This window comes from Homo sapiens, chromosome 1, assembly GCF_000001405.40.
Source record: "Homo sapiens chromosome 1, GRCh38.p14 Primary Assembly".
Taxonomy (NCBI): Eukaryota; Metazoa; Chordata; class Mammalia; order Primates; family Hominidae; genus Homo; species Homo sapiens.
The window spans coordinates 229,778,019-229,795,515 of NC_000001.11; the positions used below are offsets into that span (position 1 = coordinate 229,778,019).

The 17,497-nt window shown below is 45.3% G+C and overlaps 1 long non-coding RNA gene across 1 annotated transcript in view; it reads right to left on the reverse strand.

The window, feature by feature from the left end:
• Window positions 1-595: 595 nt before the first annotated feature.
• Window positions 596-17,497, reverse strand: part of LOC105373161 (uncharacterized) — a 29,235-nt gene continuing 12,333 nt past the window's right edge. Inside the window, exons 2-4 of the long non-coding RNA XR_949247.1 lie at window positions 2,531-2,781; window positions 1,592-1,700; window positions 596-1,203 (exon numbers count right to left, since the gene is read on the reverse strand). This is a non-coding gene — a long non-coding RNA (uncharacterized LOC105373161). The remainder of the gene's footprint in view (window positions 1,204-1,591; window positions 1,701-2,530; window positions 2,782-17,497) is intronic.

The window sequence follows — 17,497 nt, forward strand, 5'->3', positions numbered from 1 at the left end:
GGCTCCTGAGGAGGCCTGGAGGGCCCAGGAAACACACACGGCAGGCCTGTGGGCCCAGGGGTCCTCAGCACCCTGCAGATGCATCCACTGACCCCAACAGACTCCCAGATGTCACTGGCCAGCAGGAGCAAGAAACTCTAAAGGTGGGGTATTTACCTCAAAGAAATGGGGTTACCCTAAGAAAGATGGCTTGAGACGACACCAGGTTGAGCTTCCTTTATTTGGTGGATTTATGTCCTCTTCTCTCTATCTTTGCCCCTCAGCAATCCCAATTCTGAACAGGAATATGGGTGTCAGAGCAAATTCAAAGCAGTTAGAGAAAATTAAGAGTGCCAGTTTTTTTCCTGCATATCTGAGTTTGATGTGATACGTTCTCACTGCTGTCACATAATCTTCCGTAATTTGGGGCTCTAGCACAAAATAAAAATGGAAAGATAACAAGGAAGAAAGGGAGCTGGGTGTGGTGTGCGCCTGTTAATCCCAGCTACTTGGGAGGCCGAGGCGGGAGGATTGTTTGAGCCCAGGAGTTTGAGGCCAGCCTGGGCAACATAATGAGACCTTGTCTCAAAATTAAAAATTAATAATAATAAAAAGAAGTAAAAAAGAAGGAAGGAAGAAGATAATGTCTCTTCTCAATGCTGCAGCAGAGGAGGGAAACACAATTCCAAATGGTGGGCTCGGAAGAAGCTAAGTCCTAGAGGCAGGCAGGAGAGCACGATTTTCCTTCCCAGATAAATGAAAGCCAGGGCTGTACTTGCTGAAAGGGCTGGGGAGGCCAGGTCAGGGCTGTTCTGTGCTCTGCTGTGGCTTTGAGAGTTGCATTCTATCGTTGGGAGTTGGAGGGGCTGGAGCGGCCGGCAAGCCAGGGATGAGGAGAGAGAGTTGGTGCCCACCCTGCTCTGGCAGAGCTCCAGATTGGGCATCTCCTCCCTTTGTGTTTTGTTTTCATCACTGGCTCTCAGCAGCCCCTCTGCCGCTCCAGCCCCAAGCCCTGCATTGCCATAGTAACACTCTCCCACCTCTTGGTGTTTGAAGTGTGTTTTCCTTCCAGGGCCTCTGTTCTTCCCTGATCCATTTCATCTGTTGTTTGCCACCCCTCTGACTGTTGGGCCCGTGTCTGCAGCTTTTATATCTGGCTCCAACTCCCAAGCCATTTTTTTGTTGCCTCCACTGCTGGGGCTGACAGAGTTGCCTTCATCCCTCCTGGTGAAAAAAAAACAAAACAGTACAAAAAACCCAGAAGCCTGACACCCACCTAGCTCAGTGTCTGCTCAACTGTGAACGAGGAGGAGGGGATGGAGTCGAACTGTGTGGAGCAGGCTCTGCTCCGGATGCACCGATGGACACCCCAGGGGCAGAGCTGCATGCCTGGTGGGAGGTGTTAGGGTCCCACTGCCGTTTGGTCAGTGAGAGCGGCAGATCGACTCACATTCACATCTCCAAAACGGTGATTATTGTATGGGGTTGCATATCAGTTAGGACCCAATTTGGCTACAGTTAAGTGAAAACTAAATGAACAGTGAATTTACACAAATAGGGCAGTTTCTTTTTCAGGGGGTAGACAGAGCCAGGCTAGCGTGGCAGGTCTTACCTGGACATCAGGTGCCTTCCACCTTTGGCTCCACCATCTCAGTGTGGGGCATCCCTTCTTAAGGTAACATGATGGCCCAGGTTGCCTGCTGGACTTCCAGCCATTTCATCTGCATTCCAAGGAGAAGGTGAAGTGGTGGGGCAAAATAGCTCTCCTCATCAGTCTGTCCCCACTTCTAAGGAGCCCCCTCCAGAAGTCCTTCCCAACACACTTCCATGTCTAATTTCCTAAAACTTAGTCCCATGGCTGCACCTGGTATGAAGGAGTCCTGGCGAAGACACGCTTTATAGCAGGCACCTTGCCACCTCCAATGATGCAAGGATTTTGTAGGGGAGAATGCATGTTGACTAGGAACTGTCACACACTTCCCCATCAGCAGATGGGAAAGATGTGTGTGGGTGCTGTGGTCTGAATGTTTGAAACTGCCCCCAAACTCATATGTTGAAATCCTTATCCCCACAGTGATGGTATTAGGAGTTGGGGCCTCTGGGAGGTGATTAGGTCATCAAGGTAGAGCCTAATGAGTAGGATTAGTGCCTTCATAAAAGAGACCCAAGAAGGTGCTATCAATACACCAGGAAGAAAGCCCTCACCAGACACTGAATCTGCAGGTGCCTTGATCTTGGACTTCCCAGCCTCCAGAACTGTGAGAAATAAACTTCTGTTGTTTACAAGCCACCCAGTCCACAGTATTTTGTTATAGCAGCCCAAGGGAACTAAGGCAGTCGTGGACTTCAGACTTCTCCCAACAGGCTGGAGCTCCTGGGAGTATTCGCACACATTGCTTAAGCTTTTCCTTCTGGAGAGGGGCCATTCAATGTTTCTATCCAAAAACTGGGGAGTGGTGGGAGCCTCCAGGCTGCGAGTGCAGAGCACTGGGTGGCAGGCAGGGAGTGCAGATGATCCCTCTGCAAAGAACTTAACGCCATTCAGACAAACCTCTTACAGTAGCCTCCAGCAGTGAATGTGCTGTCTGTGCACGGCAGCAGCAGGGGGCTGGGTCAGATAGCGGTGACCCGGATGAAGGATTAACAGAATCTTCTGGGAGCAGTGGTGTATGCCTGGAGTCCAAGCTACTCAGGAGGCTGAGTTCGGAGGATCTCTTGAGTCCAGGAGGCTGTAGTGTGCCATGCTTGCACCTGTGAAAAGCCACTGGACTCCAGGCTGGGTAGCACAGTTAGATCTCAGCTCTAAAATAAATGAAAATAAGGAAATGAATTTTAAAAACTAGAATTCCACCCACTAGACCAGCATCCAAAGGCTTTTGTTTCACTTTTGTTTATTACCAAGATTTGTAAGTTTATAGCACATTAAAGGATGCAGAAGCACCTGTCTGTAAGAGAATTCTACATGCTCCTTCTCCAGGGCCCTGCTTGCCTAGATATGGTACACATGTTCCATGAAGGAAGTGACGGTCCCACTGTAGAGGTTTGTCATCAAGAGAGGAGGTAGGAATGGAAAACAGCCCCTTAAGACTCTGCCTGAACCGTCCATGAGCCCGTGATGCAGGATGTTCAACCTGAAAGGAAACTGGAGATTACATGGCCCGCTCCCTTCATCTTCAGATGAGAAGCCGAGGCCTTGCTAGGCTACATGAATAGTCCACAGATGCTGGATTGTGGGCTCTGGGACTGGGACTGCCAGGCCTTCCTGTCCTCCCCTGCTCATCGATGGTCACCATGTTTGTGTATCTTTGGAGGCTAAACTCTGGAGCCCTGCTCTTCCCCTAACTTGAGGTGAATTCCACCTTGCCAGTTCTCATCAGCGCTGGCTTTATTATCAGCAACACGGCAATAATGTCTCTGGGAAGCAATCCCTGGCAGAAATAGAAAATGCATGTACTAATGACTTGGCCAGCATGACAGTGGTACCTAAATGCTAAGTATGAATTATTAATTTGATGTCTTTGGTGGCAGGCCATGCACTCTGCAAGGTGCCAGAATCATTGCTTCAAGAGGAGCTCTTAAACCGAGCTTGCAGCTGCGTGGAATCCGGCAGGCTCCATCTGGCAGCCCCTGGGGCCTCAGCCTTGCTGCCAGGCGGGATTTCTGTGTGCTGAGTGTTGCCTTGGCTCCCCTTCCTCCAGCAGGCACACTGGCATGTGGTTTGCATGGCCGGACAAGCCACCAGGTGGCTCCTGATGTCCTACCTGGGCGGTCACAGCAACAGGTGGCTGCACACAGAGAAAGTTGAATTACTCCACCGGGACCTTGACTTGGCTGCCCATGAGAATGTTTAGCTGCCTGTTGTCCAGGCTTTTCTTTGTCTTGCCACATGGGTTTTTACTCATTCATGAAAAAAGAAATCCTAGTTTGCCCCCCATATTTAGTGACTCAGTGCTAAAGAAAAAGCCATCAGAAACTTCTGGACCCTTTATTTGTTCTTATGACTAAATCCCTCTATGCACATAAGCCTGTCTTGCTCTGAATTTCTTTTACAAAATGGAGACTTGGCAGCTGATCTAGTTGGTGGGTGTTCTGGGAAGGTACATTTCGGAGTGACTCTTGCTGTGAGGATTCCCTGAGTGTCTTTAGATATTTATTGGGTGCCTGACTCTAGGTCAAGAATCTGCCCTGAGAGGCTTATGCTGTAAGGATGTGTGCTAAGTCAGGAGCCAGTAACTCCACACAGGCAGGGTATGAGCGCTGCTCAGAGACGGGAAGGGGGCAGATCCCACTCCAGATTGCAAGCAATGAGGAGGTGCCCCACAGAGAGATGACTGGGCTGTCCCTTATGGCATGGATCAGAGTTTGACAAACAGGAGTGGCGGGAAGAGGGCATCCAAGAAAGAAGGAACCTGGAGAGTAAATCAGTCGGGGTTCCCTAAAGAAACAGCAACAACAATAGGTAGTGTGCATGCCAGGGTGGGTGGGTGAGATTGGTTTTAAGGAATTGGATCATGAGATAATGGGGGCTGGCAAGTTCCAAATTTCCAGAGCTAGCCAGAGGCTAGAGACCAAAAGAAGAGTTTTTGCTTGAGTCTGAAGGTCATCAGCTGGCAGAATTCCCTCCCCTTGGGAGAGGTCTGTGGTTTTCTTAAGGCCTTCAACTGACTGGGTGAGGCCCACCCACATTATGGAGGATAATCTGCTTTACTCAAAATCCACTGATTTAAATGTTATCTCATCTAAAAGATACCTTCACAGCAAGATCTAGAATAATGTTTGTCCAAACAACTGGGCACCACAGCCTAGCCAAGTCGGCATATGAAATTAGCCATCACAGCTAGGTGCAGTGGCTCATGCCTGTAATCCCAGAGACTCAAGAGGCTAAGGCAGGAGGATTGCTTGAGGCCAGGAGTTCAAGAGCAATCTGGGCAGCATAGGGAGACCCTATGACATTCAACTTGGTCCCTGGCTGAAAGATGAGCTGGGAGCTTGCCTTTGGAAGAAGGCAGCAAGGACCCTTCTACACCAACCATGGAATGAAGGCTGGGAAAACTGACTGGGCCAGCGTGGGCAGGTCCTCCTCCTCAGAGAGGAGCAGGTAATCCAAACCAAGTCAAAGCTGGCATAGAAAATTCAAGTATGATCCAGTGTTCAAGACTAACCTGAGCAACGTGGAGAGACCCCTCAAAAAAGGTGAAAAAAAATTAGCCAGGTGCAGTTATGCGTGCCCGTTGTCCTAGCTACTTGAGAGGCTGAGGTGAGAGGATTGCTTGAGCACAGGAGTTTGAAGCTGCAATGAGCTATGATCGCACCACTGCAATCATAGCTGTAGCAGCCAGTTGGGTGACAGAGTGAGGCCCTGTCTCTTAAAAAATAAGATAAAATGAAATTAGCCATCGCAGAGAGTATGTGATGTTTTGGGGGAAGAGACGTGAGACATCCATGTAGCGGGGTAGAGACGGGACAGGTGGGGGCGCTGGGCCCTCTAGAGGGATGAGGGTGGAGGGCATGCCTCCCGGGGCCAGGTTTCTGAAGACAGAGGATGAGCAGTGTGCTGTGAGTCAGGGGCTGATCCAGTGCTGGTGTGGGACAGAGTAAGGGAGGCCGTGGGGTAGTCTAGGGAAGAAAGTCAGGAGCAGCAGCCATGGAAAGTAGTGATGAAGGTGAGTGACTACTTCAAGAACAAATCTACAGGAGGACTTTTACCAAACACCCCTCTGTCTTAGGTCACTCACCTACTCTGAGGGCATTGTGAGAAGCAGCCACATGATACTTTGGATTTTCCCCATGTCATCGTAAGCTCTGTCTGAAACTTCACATGCATATGTTCATTTCAGTTCTGGCAGCGGGAATAACTGTGCTTCTCTTTGAGCAGCGATTCGTATCTTCGAAACATTGTGACCAGTGCCACTGAGCATGCCTCCCTCTTTGTGTTGGCTGCTCAGCATCTCAAAACCAAGCTTGGAGCTCCTCCTTAACAAGGGGCATCGTGACGTAGATTTGTTTGTGTCATATCCCTGGCTTTATCTTATTTTTCTTGTCCTTGTTTTCTCTCCCCTTGTCCTCACCTAACTGTTTTTAAGTCTTGTTTTAACGTATGCATCTTTGCAAGTTACTTCAAGTCCTCTTTGAAAGCAAGTGGAGTAGACAGATTAGCAACCAACTGGACTTGACAACTGATGGCAGGGCAGGTATGACTTTGGAGACAAAGCTGATTCCAAGTCTTCACTGGAGAAAAGAAAATCTGGAAGCAGGCTGATCTAGGGATGATTCTCAAAATGAGTTCCATTTTAGGAGGGAAAGTTCTGCCAGACTTCGCCAATCCCAGCTGCCCAAACAATGTCTGCTCTCTGAAGCTTAATTCTTCCCGGGCTCTGGAGAAATGAGAGTCAGACCATGTGTCTTAGTCTGTTTTCTATTGCTTATAACAGAATCCATGAAGCTAGGTAATTTATAAAGAAAAGGGATTTATTTCTTATATTTATGGAGGTTGAGAAGTAGAAAGTTGAGGAACTACATCTGGTGGGGGTTTTCTTGCTGGTGAGGACTCTCTGCAGAGTCCCAAGGCAGTATAGAGGGTCACATGGTGAGGAGGCTGAGCATAGTAGCTCATATCTTTTTTCTTCTTCTGATAAAGCCACTAGTCACACTCCTGTGATAACCCATAAATCCATTAACCCATTAATCTATTAATCTGTGGATAGATGCATCCATTTATTTGGGGAGGACCTCACGACCCAATAACTTCTTAAAAGTCCCACCTCTCAGTACTGTCATATTAAGGATTAAATTTCAACATGAGCTTTGGAGGGAGGGAACATTCAAAAGACAGCACCTGGAGTGATGTCCATTTGAAGCCCACTCCTTTCTAGTGGTATGCAGGATTGAGCTGCAGTCCTTCCAGGGTCTGTGTGCCAGGCCCTTGGGCAAATGCAGACCTTCAGCCTCTTTAAACACACCCGCTGCATACCTAAGAGCCAGGCTCTTCTGCCCTGGCTCTCTGTTGTGCCCTCTTGTGGAGTTCCTGCCAGTCCCTTTGCCTTCTGAGCTGGACTTTGCTCCTGGCACCCTTCACCTCATCTCAAATGATTCTGCCTGGTTTATGAAGTGGATGAACCAAATATTGATCTGCTATATCAGAACTTCCTGGACTGTGAATCCCAGTGTGCATCAGACTTGAATTTTCTATGCCAGCTTTGACTTAGTTGGGATTACCTGCCTTTCCCTGAGGAGGAGGACCTGCCCATGCTGGCCTGGTCAGTTTTCCCAGCCTTCATTCCATGGTTGCTACAGAACGGTCCTTGCTGCCTTCTTCCGAAGGCAAGCTCCCAGCCCATCTTTCAGCCAGGATCAAGCTGAATGTCATAAGTTTGAGGTTCCAAAGACAATCTAGGTTGAGACATGTGCCAGGCAGTTAGGAAATAGGAAGCTACAGAGAATGAGGACACTGAATTATATTGATTTGGGAGATATCCTCATGGAAGGAAGTAACTGTAGGCAGGGGCCCACATTAAATCACTCAAAGACTTATATTGGGACACTAAGGAAAGGAGGACAAGGAGATAACCTTGGGACAACAACTTTATTATGGGGACAGGAGAAGAAAGGAGGTCAGTGAAGTATCATAGATGGTGGGCTCTAGAAGATCAAGGAGAGCCCTTGGGGACAGGAGCTGCAGGGAGCTAAGAGAGGAGAGAGCTTCAGGAAGGAGAAGGCCGTGAGCAGTAGTCAATGCTGATGGAGGTCAGGGAGGAGGCTGTGGCACACCCCACTGGACGTGGTGAGTACAGGTCACAGTGAGTTTCATAGGAGCAGACTCAGTTGAGTCCTGGGCAAAAAGCTGATTGAATAGAATTAATACAAAGGGACGTGGTGAGAAAACGGGGGATTTGTGAAAAGCCTACTGTTTAAGAAATGCTTTGGAATATAAAACAGAACTTGATCTAGGGAGAAAGTCACTCAAGAAAAGCAGTGCCACAAAGCCTTTTGTTATTGGTTTGTTTAATAGCAAGCTGAGCCTGCTCTAATCATGAAGCCTAAACTTTCATAGTTCTCTTTTTGGGGAAAAACAAGCAAAGAAGTATTTCTCTTCTGAGTAAGCCTACATGGATAGTTTTCAAAGAGTGCATGCATTTCCAAAATCTCCCCATCAAAGGCATGACTATCAATACCATTGAATACCTCACAAGGACATCTAGGATAGATTTTTGACTCGCCATAAAAAAGATAGCCTTGAATTCTCAGCAACATCAGTTGATTGGGCCAGAGATGTAGTTCCTGTTTTTCAAGAATTTGTACCCCAGGACCTGGATAGAGTATCATTTAAGTATTTTCTATAACCCTGTGTTGAGTATATTTATGTGGACAATGGGGCAGGATGTTGAGGAAACCTGTGAAATATAATCATTAAAGTAGGGACCACATCCTGGAATTAGAAATGAGCAGTGTTTGAATGATTACATAAGAAGAGAATTTGACAGTTTAAATTCTTATCCAAAAACATATGTAGTTTTATCCACTTGAAAGTAAATTACTTTTAGAGTGACAGGAGATTAGCTGCAGAAGTCTCATCTGAATACAAAACGTCATCTACCTCTGTTTAATACCCGGAGGTGCAAGTCATGGGGAAACTGGGTTTTGATGCCCAGAAATGGTCTCTTTCACATTCAGTGATTGAATTGCAAAGCTAACTTAATTCTGGAAGTACTAGCAACACTTTCACATTTAGGGGTTATGTCTTAAAAATATAGGTCCGGGATGAATTATTTAAAGCTGAGAATTCAAAAACATATTTCTCTTTGCTGGCTTCCTATAGCTGTGGCTTTGAATCCAAATTCTTGGCATTCAAGTCTCCTTCTCATCTGGCCTTGCCTTCAACTTTTTATTCAACATGCTCTGTGGCCATGCACCTTGCCTCAGTTGGGCCATTCTGTCCACTGTCAGGCCCAGCTTGGCTTCCATGTCTTTGTTCCTGTTGGGTCCACTCCAGCTGTCTACCTTCAAGTCCAAGACAAGCAGACTACACCCCAGTGATCAATCATGGTAAACAACTGTCCCTTTTAGGCTTATTTGAAGAGCATCACCACAATTTTATTCTTGTTTCACTCTGGTTTTCTCTGGCCCCTCTTTGGCTTATTTACAGTTTCTGTCCTATAAGAGTTAAAGAAAGAAGAAAGAAACACAAAAAGCAGCTCAACAGTCAAAGACAGGTTTATTCTGGAGAATAAACCTGAGAGGGGCTTCTGGCCGATTTCGGTCAGAAGCATTCTCCCTTACAGACTAAGGGTATTTAAGGGCTTAGGGAGAGAGAGCTTATAATGGGCTTGGAATGGTTCTGTGTGGAGGAGAGTTTTATTGTGGGATTGGAATGTCTCTGGTTGGAGGGAAGGTAATCTTGGGGCTGGCAAGTTTCTAGTCAGAGGGGAGATTATCTCAGAGTTGGAATGTTTCTGGTCAGAGATATCACTTGTGGTTATGGTCATGCTGACATTAGCCATAAGGCTGATATTTTTGGGCTGGATTTAGGAGGTTTTTAATCAACAGGAACTTAAAATGCAGTGTTTGTCCAAGATGGCGATGCTCCTGCTCTGTCATGTCCCCCTTCCTGTTTTTCACCCATTGGCCTTATTAACTGACCCTGATCTTCAACTGTATACCTTGGCATTCCCAGGTGGCTTAACTCTCTGGAGATTAACTCTGGCTTCTTTTCTCTGATTCTTTCCAACAGAATATAACATTCTAACTAAGTCCCACTGAGATCCAAACAATGTCCTAGCTTGCTAGGCTAAATACCTGCATTTCTGAGTGCAGGTGTGGTGTGTGTATGTAAGTGTTGATGTGTGCATGTGTGTGTGACGTGTGTGGGGTGTATATGTATGTGTGTGGTGTGCATGTGTATGTGTGTGTAGTTGTGTGTGTGCATGTGTATGCATGTGTAGTTGTGTGTGTGTGTCTGTGTGTGCATGCCTGTGTATGCGTGTGTAGTTGTGTGTGTGCGTGCCTGTGTATGCGTGTGTAGTTGTGCATGTGTGTCTGTGTGTGCATGCCTGTGTATGCATGTGGAGTTGTGTGTGTGTGTCTGTGTGTGCATGCCTGTGTATGCGTGTGTAGTTGTGTGTGTCTGTGTATGCGTGCCTGTGTATGTGTGTGTAGTTGGGTGTGTCTGTGTGTGCATGCCTGTGTATGCATGTGTAGTTGTGTGTGTCTGTGTGTGCGTGCCTGTGTATGTGTGTGTAGTTGTGTGTGTGTCTGTGTGTGTGTGTGCATGTGTATGCATGTGTAGTTGTGTGTGGGTGTGTGTGCATGTGTATGTGTGTGTAGTTTGTGTGTGTGTGTGCGTGCATGTGTATGCGTGTGTAGTTGCAGTGTTCAGTTTTCCCCATTAGGAATGATTACCTTTTTCTGTCTTACCCAGGCAAAATTTGTTGTGGGAAAGTTGATTAACCTCTAGGAGCCTCAATATTCATTTATCTACTCACTTCAAAATGCTGTTGTGAGGCCAGGTGTTGTGGCTCATGCCTGTCGTTTCAGTTACTCAGGAGGCTGAGGTGGGAAGGTCACTTGAGCCCAAGAGTTAGAGGCTGCAGTGAACTAAGATCGAGCCACTGCACTCCAGCCTGGGCAACAGAGCGAGGCCTCATCTCTGAAAAAAACTGTGGTTGTATGGAATGGAATAGAGAGCTCAGAAATAAGACCACATGCCTACAACCATCTGATCTCTGACAAACCTGACAAAATAAGCAATGGGAAAAGTGTTATTTATTTAATAAATGGTGCTGGGAGAACTGGCTGGCCATATGCAGAAAATTGAAACTGGACCCCTTCCTTACACCTTATACAAAAATTGACTCAAGATAGATTAAAGACTTAAATGTAAAACCCAAAACTATAAAAACCCTAGAAGAAAATCTAGGCAATACCATTCAGGACATAGGCATAGGCAAAGATTTCATGATGAAAACACCAAAAGCAATAGCAACAAAAGCAAAAATTGACAAATGGGATCCAATTAAACTAAAGAGCTTCTGTACAGCAAAAGAAACTATCAACAGAGTAAACAGACAACCTACAGAGTGGGAGAAAATTCTTGCAATCTATTCATCTGACAAAGGTCTAATATCCAGAGTCTACAAGGAACTTAAACAAATTTACAAGAAAAAAACAAACAATCCCATTAAAAAGTGGGCAAAGGGCATGAACAGACACTTCTTGCAAGAAGATATTCATGTGGCCAACAAACATATGAAAAAAAGCTCAACATCACTGATCATTAGAGAAATGCAAATCAAAACCACGAGATACCATCTCACACCAGTCAGAATGGCAATTATTAAAAAGTGAAGAGATAACAGATGCTGGCAAGGTTGCGGAGAAAAAGGAACACTTTTACACTGTTGATGGGAGTGTAAATTAGTTCAACCATTGTGGAAGACAGTGTGGTGATTCCTCAAATACCTAGAGGCGGAAATAGGAAATATCATCTGATCCAGCAATCCCATTACTGGGTATATACTCAAAGAAATGTAAACCATTCTATTTTAAAGATATATGCATGCTTATGTTCACTGCAGCACTGTTCACAACAGCAAAGACATGGAATCAACCCAAATGCCCATCAGTGATAGACTGGATAAAGAAAATGTGGTATATATACACCATGGAATACTATGTAGCCATAAAAGGGAATGAGATCATGTCCTTTGCGGGGACATGGATGGAGCTGGAAGCCGTTATCCTCAGAAAACTAACATAGGAACAGAAAACAAACACCGCGTGTTCTCACTTAAAAGTGAGAGCTGAATGATGAGAACACATGGACACATGGAGGGAAATAACACATGCTGGGGCCTGTTTGCAGGGCAGGAGGAGGGAGAGCATCAGGAAGATTAGCTAATGGATTCAGGGCTTAATACCTGGGTGATGGGTTGATCTGTGCAGCAAACCACCATGGCACATGTTTACCTGTGTAACAAACCTGCACATCCTGTTCTTGTACCCCAGAAATTAAAACAAAGTTGAAGAAAAAAATGCTGTTGTATGCATTTAAATAAATAACAATGATCTGGCACCTGGCAGAGTCCCCCTTCCATGGCACACGCGAAGTGCTCAAGAAGCAGGTGCCCATCTCCAGTCTTCACACTGTCATGTGATCAGATTTCTCTAGCCAGATTTCTGGTGCTATTTTCCTTTTCTGATATTCCGTAGCACTTAAATTTGAACACCAAAGTTGATAATTCACTCTCATATTAACTTGTATTATCCTCTTAATTTTGGTATCTTACACGAAACTGAGCAAGCAGTAGGCCCTCAATAAATATCTCATGACAGTGGAGATGTAGAGATGTAGAGAGAAAACAAGAAAAACCAAGAGAGGCCTAGAAGAATGCACTCTTTAATGATACCTGCGTCTGAGCATACCAGATAGATTTCCAAGTTGGAGCCCACTTGTAAAAAGTAAAGTAGAGGTTCCTCTTCAAAGACTTCCCTCCTCATCTAATTAGGAATAAATAGTAACTTCTCTTAGAAAGCAAAATTTATTCAAAGACCTGTGCTAACATTCCTAAATATCTGCTAGCTGTAATAAAGAAATCAATGTATTTTATGTTCTTAGCTCCCACAATTTAGCCTAAATATTTGCCCTGGCATGCTTATACTGGTCCAAGCAAGCATTAGGTCATAGCCTGTTCCTCTTCCTTATTTGAAGATGTTTTTACCTTTCTCAGCATTCTGCAAGTTACTTCCTCCTTCTTTTGTTCTCCTCTGCCTTTGCCTCTTTTAAAAAGTTCTAAGTTGCCAGCCAATCAGGACAAACACAGAATGTGAGGAACCGTTCTAGCCAATGGAAACTGGACACAGCAGTAGGGTGGACGTGTCAGGTTATAAATGACCCTGTCTCCTTTGTTTGGTGTTCTCTAGTGGCAAAACTGCTGGCGAGTGTACCCTTTCTGCAGAAAGTGAAAAAATGGCCTTGCTGAGGAAATTAAATTTATGTTCAAGTGCTATTTCTTTACGGCACCAGGGAACAAGCATTCCTAACACACTGAAGATCACTCTTCTACCCTAAAGCACATAAAACAAGCCACAAATTCCCTCTGAAGATCGGATATTTATCCTTCCACTCTAAACATATCAACTCCTTACATCTCTCCCCTTCTTCCCACCATAGGCACCAGATCTCAAGGTGCCATAAAACAGAATGCAGTATAACCTCACAAATAGGTGGGGGACCCACACTCCAAAATGTTGTTAGTGCCTCATAGATTGTTGTTGTAGTCATAGGGCTGAGGAAATGCGGCCATTCCTCTAGTCTTTCTATTAAGTGTATTCCAGCAAGCCTGTTCTTTTTCTTTACAAGAACACCCCTTCCCCTTTTACTTGAATTAGTCAGCGGGTTTCTGCTAAATGACGAAGACTCCTAGGAAGGCGAGTCGAGAAGCCCGAAGCAATCTCTCGGGTGTTGAGAAGCTGTGTAAAAGCCTTGGGACAGTGCTGAGCTCCCCAAAACACATGTCCCTTCAGAGAAGAAATTCATGCATTTTCCTTCCACCCATATGGCATCATACATAGTATTTTGCAAGCAGTTACCCAAGGAAATGACAGCAGGAAGCCATTTGCAGAAAGCTTCAGTTTGTGGGCTCCCCTGAGTGGGGGCTCATTTTTTCACAGAAGGAGCTTCACATTAATGGGGTTCTGTGGCATTTGAAAGGCTCTTGATTGGCTTTGAAAGGAAGCCAAGTGAACTCTAACTGCTGACCGGTCCTAATTCTACTCATGTGTCTAAGTTTCTTTCTTTTGGTCAATCTGACAATCAACATTAGCAGATTAGTTAGGATAGCTTTTCCGAATACTTCCAGGATGGCTGCCATTTTTTTTAAGGAAAGCCAGAGGAATTGGTCTGAAGTCATTATTCCTGTAAGAGAAAAGCAGCATTTGCTCTCCCATCTCTTCTCTGCAGGAGTAGTGATTAGTTGCACCATGGAATTCTAAGCCTCCTCTTTCAGCAATTACAGAACCTTCTATTATGAGCTTGTTGAGAGTTGGTTAGAGTAAAATTTTGCCTATTTTCTTGCTTCACAGGAAAATCAAATTCTGTTCCTTTGCCCAAGGCAACTGTGCCTCTAAACCTGTTCAGTGCATCTGGCTATTGAGATCAATGGCAACACAAACACAATTGGGCCATGTTTCTCTTATGAGCCAATCACTCCTTTTCACAAATCTCAGCAGTGTCAGATTAAGTGAGCCGCAACTGCGCAGAGCCATCCATCAAAACAAATCAGCCAACCCATAAATAAACTTCTGGGATGCCTCAAGGGATTTAGAAGAATTTATCCTTGTCTCATTCTTTTGTTCAATACGCAACTCCTGTAGCATGTAGAGCCGTACGTGCTGCCCTAGCCTACCCCACTGGAACTGCAAGTGGTGACTTCCAGAGGAGCACACTGCTGGGAATAGTTTCTGAGGACAGTGCAGGTGAATGGACTTAGGAAGAAATGATACTTCACAGAGAAGCAATCTCTCAAAAGATTCTGTGTGTGACAGATATGGGAACCATATTTCCTGTTCCAGTGATAAGGAAACATGGTTGTACAAAATTCAAGAGCACTGATGGGGACCCAATTTGAAATTAGGCCTGTGCCTGGATGCATGGTTGATGCAGACAGTGTATAAGCTGGCCTAGCATCTGGCCCAGGTCCCAGCTACAATCCAGGTCTTGCCTCTGATGTCTTGCCCCTTGAGGTTTGTGAGCTTGTGGAAATTCTTTTGTGAAGATGTCACATTTTCCTGGTAATTTGTTTTATTCACCTGTCAACACTTTCAGAAAGGGAAAGAATCATCTCCATATTTCTGCATTGTATTTATTCACTGATGTTTGTCTTCCTCACCTAGAGCATGTCTTATCCACGTTTGCATGCTCAGGGCCTGACATTATGCCTTCCAGGAAGTTGTCCAAGGAAAATTATATAGATAGATAGATAGATAGATAGATAGATAGATAGATAGATACTGAGTTTCGTTCTTTCCCCCAGGCTGGAGGGCAATGGTGCAATCTTGGCTCACTGCAACCTCTGCCTCCCAGGTTCAAGCGATTCTCCTGCCTCAGCCTCCCCAGTAGCTGGGATTGCAGGCACGTGCCACCATGCCCGGCTAATTTTTTATATTTTTAGTAGAGATAGGGGTTCACCATGTTGGCCAGGCTGGTCTCGAACTCCTGACCTCAGGTGATGCACCCACCTTGGCCTCTCAAAGTGCTGAGATTACAGGTGTGAGCCACTGCCCCCAGCCCAAGGAAAATAATTGAGGCAACTCAAATAGAGGTCAAAGCCTTCATTTAGCTGATGCAATTAAGGAGCCTCTGAAGACCAGGTAATTTCCCAATCAAAGCAAGGCTGTAGCTGTATAGGGTGAGGAGGAGGCAGGCAGATGTGCCCTAGTGATTTGGGCCAGGAAAAGCTTTTGTCTTTAACTGCTATGAAACTTGCAGTGGAGGCTGTCCTGGTTTTCACACTTCTTGCTCAGGATTGTGGTGCGGTCTCATCCTGATAACGGTTAGAACAGTACTTTCACGAATGACTTTTGAAAGCTTTGCAGTTTGTTGGTTAGTCAAGGTTCACAGGCTGGGGAAGGCAAGGGGGAAAAGGGAAAGGAGGTAAGAGTTGAAGGCAATAGAGAAACAGAGTACCCTCTATCACGCCTGCTTGAGTGTTTTTTATAGAGTAAATGTTTATGAAATGTGTAAACATAAGACTGAAAGGTCTAGGGTCCATGTCGGAAATGCCTAGCATTATCCTCATTTAAATGTTACACTTATTAAAAGTGTAAAGTGAAATGGTCAGAGTGCCAGAGCTCAGAAATTTCCCACAGATCTGGGCTGAGTAGGAGGAATGAACAGGAGCTCATAAAAATGGGAAATCTCAGCTGGCCATGGTAGCTCATGCCTGTAATCCCAGCACTTTGGGAGGCTGAGGTGGGTAGATCCCTTAAACTTGGGAGTTTGAGACCAGCCTGGACAACATGATGACACCCCATCTCTGCAAAAAGTATAAAAGTCAGCCAGGTGTGGTGGCTCATGTCTGTGGTCCCAGCTACTCGGGAGGTGAGATGGGAGGACAGCTTGAGCTTGGGAGGCAGAGGTTGCAGTGAGCTGATTGTGCCACTGCACTCCAGCCTGGGCGACAGAGTGAGACTCTGACCTCGAAAGAAAGAAAGGAAGAAAGAACAGAAGAAAGGACGAAAGAAAGAATGAAACAAAGAAAGAAAGGAGGGAAAGAAGGAAGGAAGGAAGGAAGGGAACATCTCTCCAGCTGGATGAAGTGGGCATTTAATACAGGGCATTTCATGAGATCTCAAAAGAGAGAAAGCAGAGTCTAGTTTCCCCGATGGCAACCTCTCCCCCTCCCCAACTCCCATACTCTCAGACTTCAGAAGAGTGGGTAGAAAGCAATACCCACAATGGTAATTCTTGGGGGTGAAGTGGGGGTAGGGAGAAGGAACCAACTGGTTCAAGGTAAGGTGAGATGTATATCAAGGAAAAGTCACTCTTAATGTATCAAAATATTAGAAGCTTTGGACAGAACTGTCCATGTTAAGGATGAACAAGATGTAAAGAAATGGCGTGGCAAGTCTGCAAACCTCCCCCACCACCTCAACACGCATGTGAGTAAAAGAAAGGAACATTATATTGCATTCAAAATACAGAAGAAGAATCCAGTCTGGAAGAAAATATGATCCTTAGACCAGAATCATATTCCCCATGAGTATTTCGCATTATAGGCAAACTTAGGAATATAAACTCATTTTTTAAAAGAGCATAAAGAAGAAGTGGAGCAATACCCATTCAATTTTAAAAGAAAGAGTTACTCAAGAATAGTATCCCCAGCTGTCAGTGAAGTATAGAGACAACAGGTGGCCATTCACAAACATAAAAAAGTCTAAGTATATAAGCCTCATAAGCTTCTTGATTAAAAACTTCCCAGTGATAAAATTCAACTGCTTGAGAGGTGAATCAACATTAAGAATTTAAGAATGGGGCCAGGTAAGGTGGCTCACTCCTGTAATCCCAGCACTTTGGGAGGCCGAGGCAGGTGGATCACCTGAGGTCGGGAGTTCAAGACCAGCCTGGCTGATGTGGTAAAACCTAGTCTCCACTAAAAATGAAAAAATTAAACAACCAGGTGTGGTGGCATGCCCCTGTAACCCCAGCTATTCAGGAGGCTGAGGTGGGAGAATTGCTTGAACCCAGGAGGCAGAGGCTGCAGTGAGCTGAGATCATGCCACTGCCCTGCACTCCAGCCTGGACAACAGAGTGAGACCTTGTATAAAAAAAAAAAAAATTTAGGAATGGAAAAGTTGAGTTGTGGTTATGAAACCAGCCCTGATACTGAATATTGACTTCATTTAACTGCAGAATTAAGATTAAGCAACTGGGGAGTCAGAATCACACAATAGGACATGAATATCTTGAACCCTTTGAATGTAATAATAATACACAGAACAAAATATTGGGAAGTCAGGACAAGAG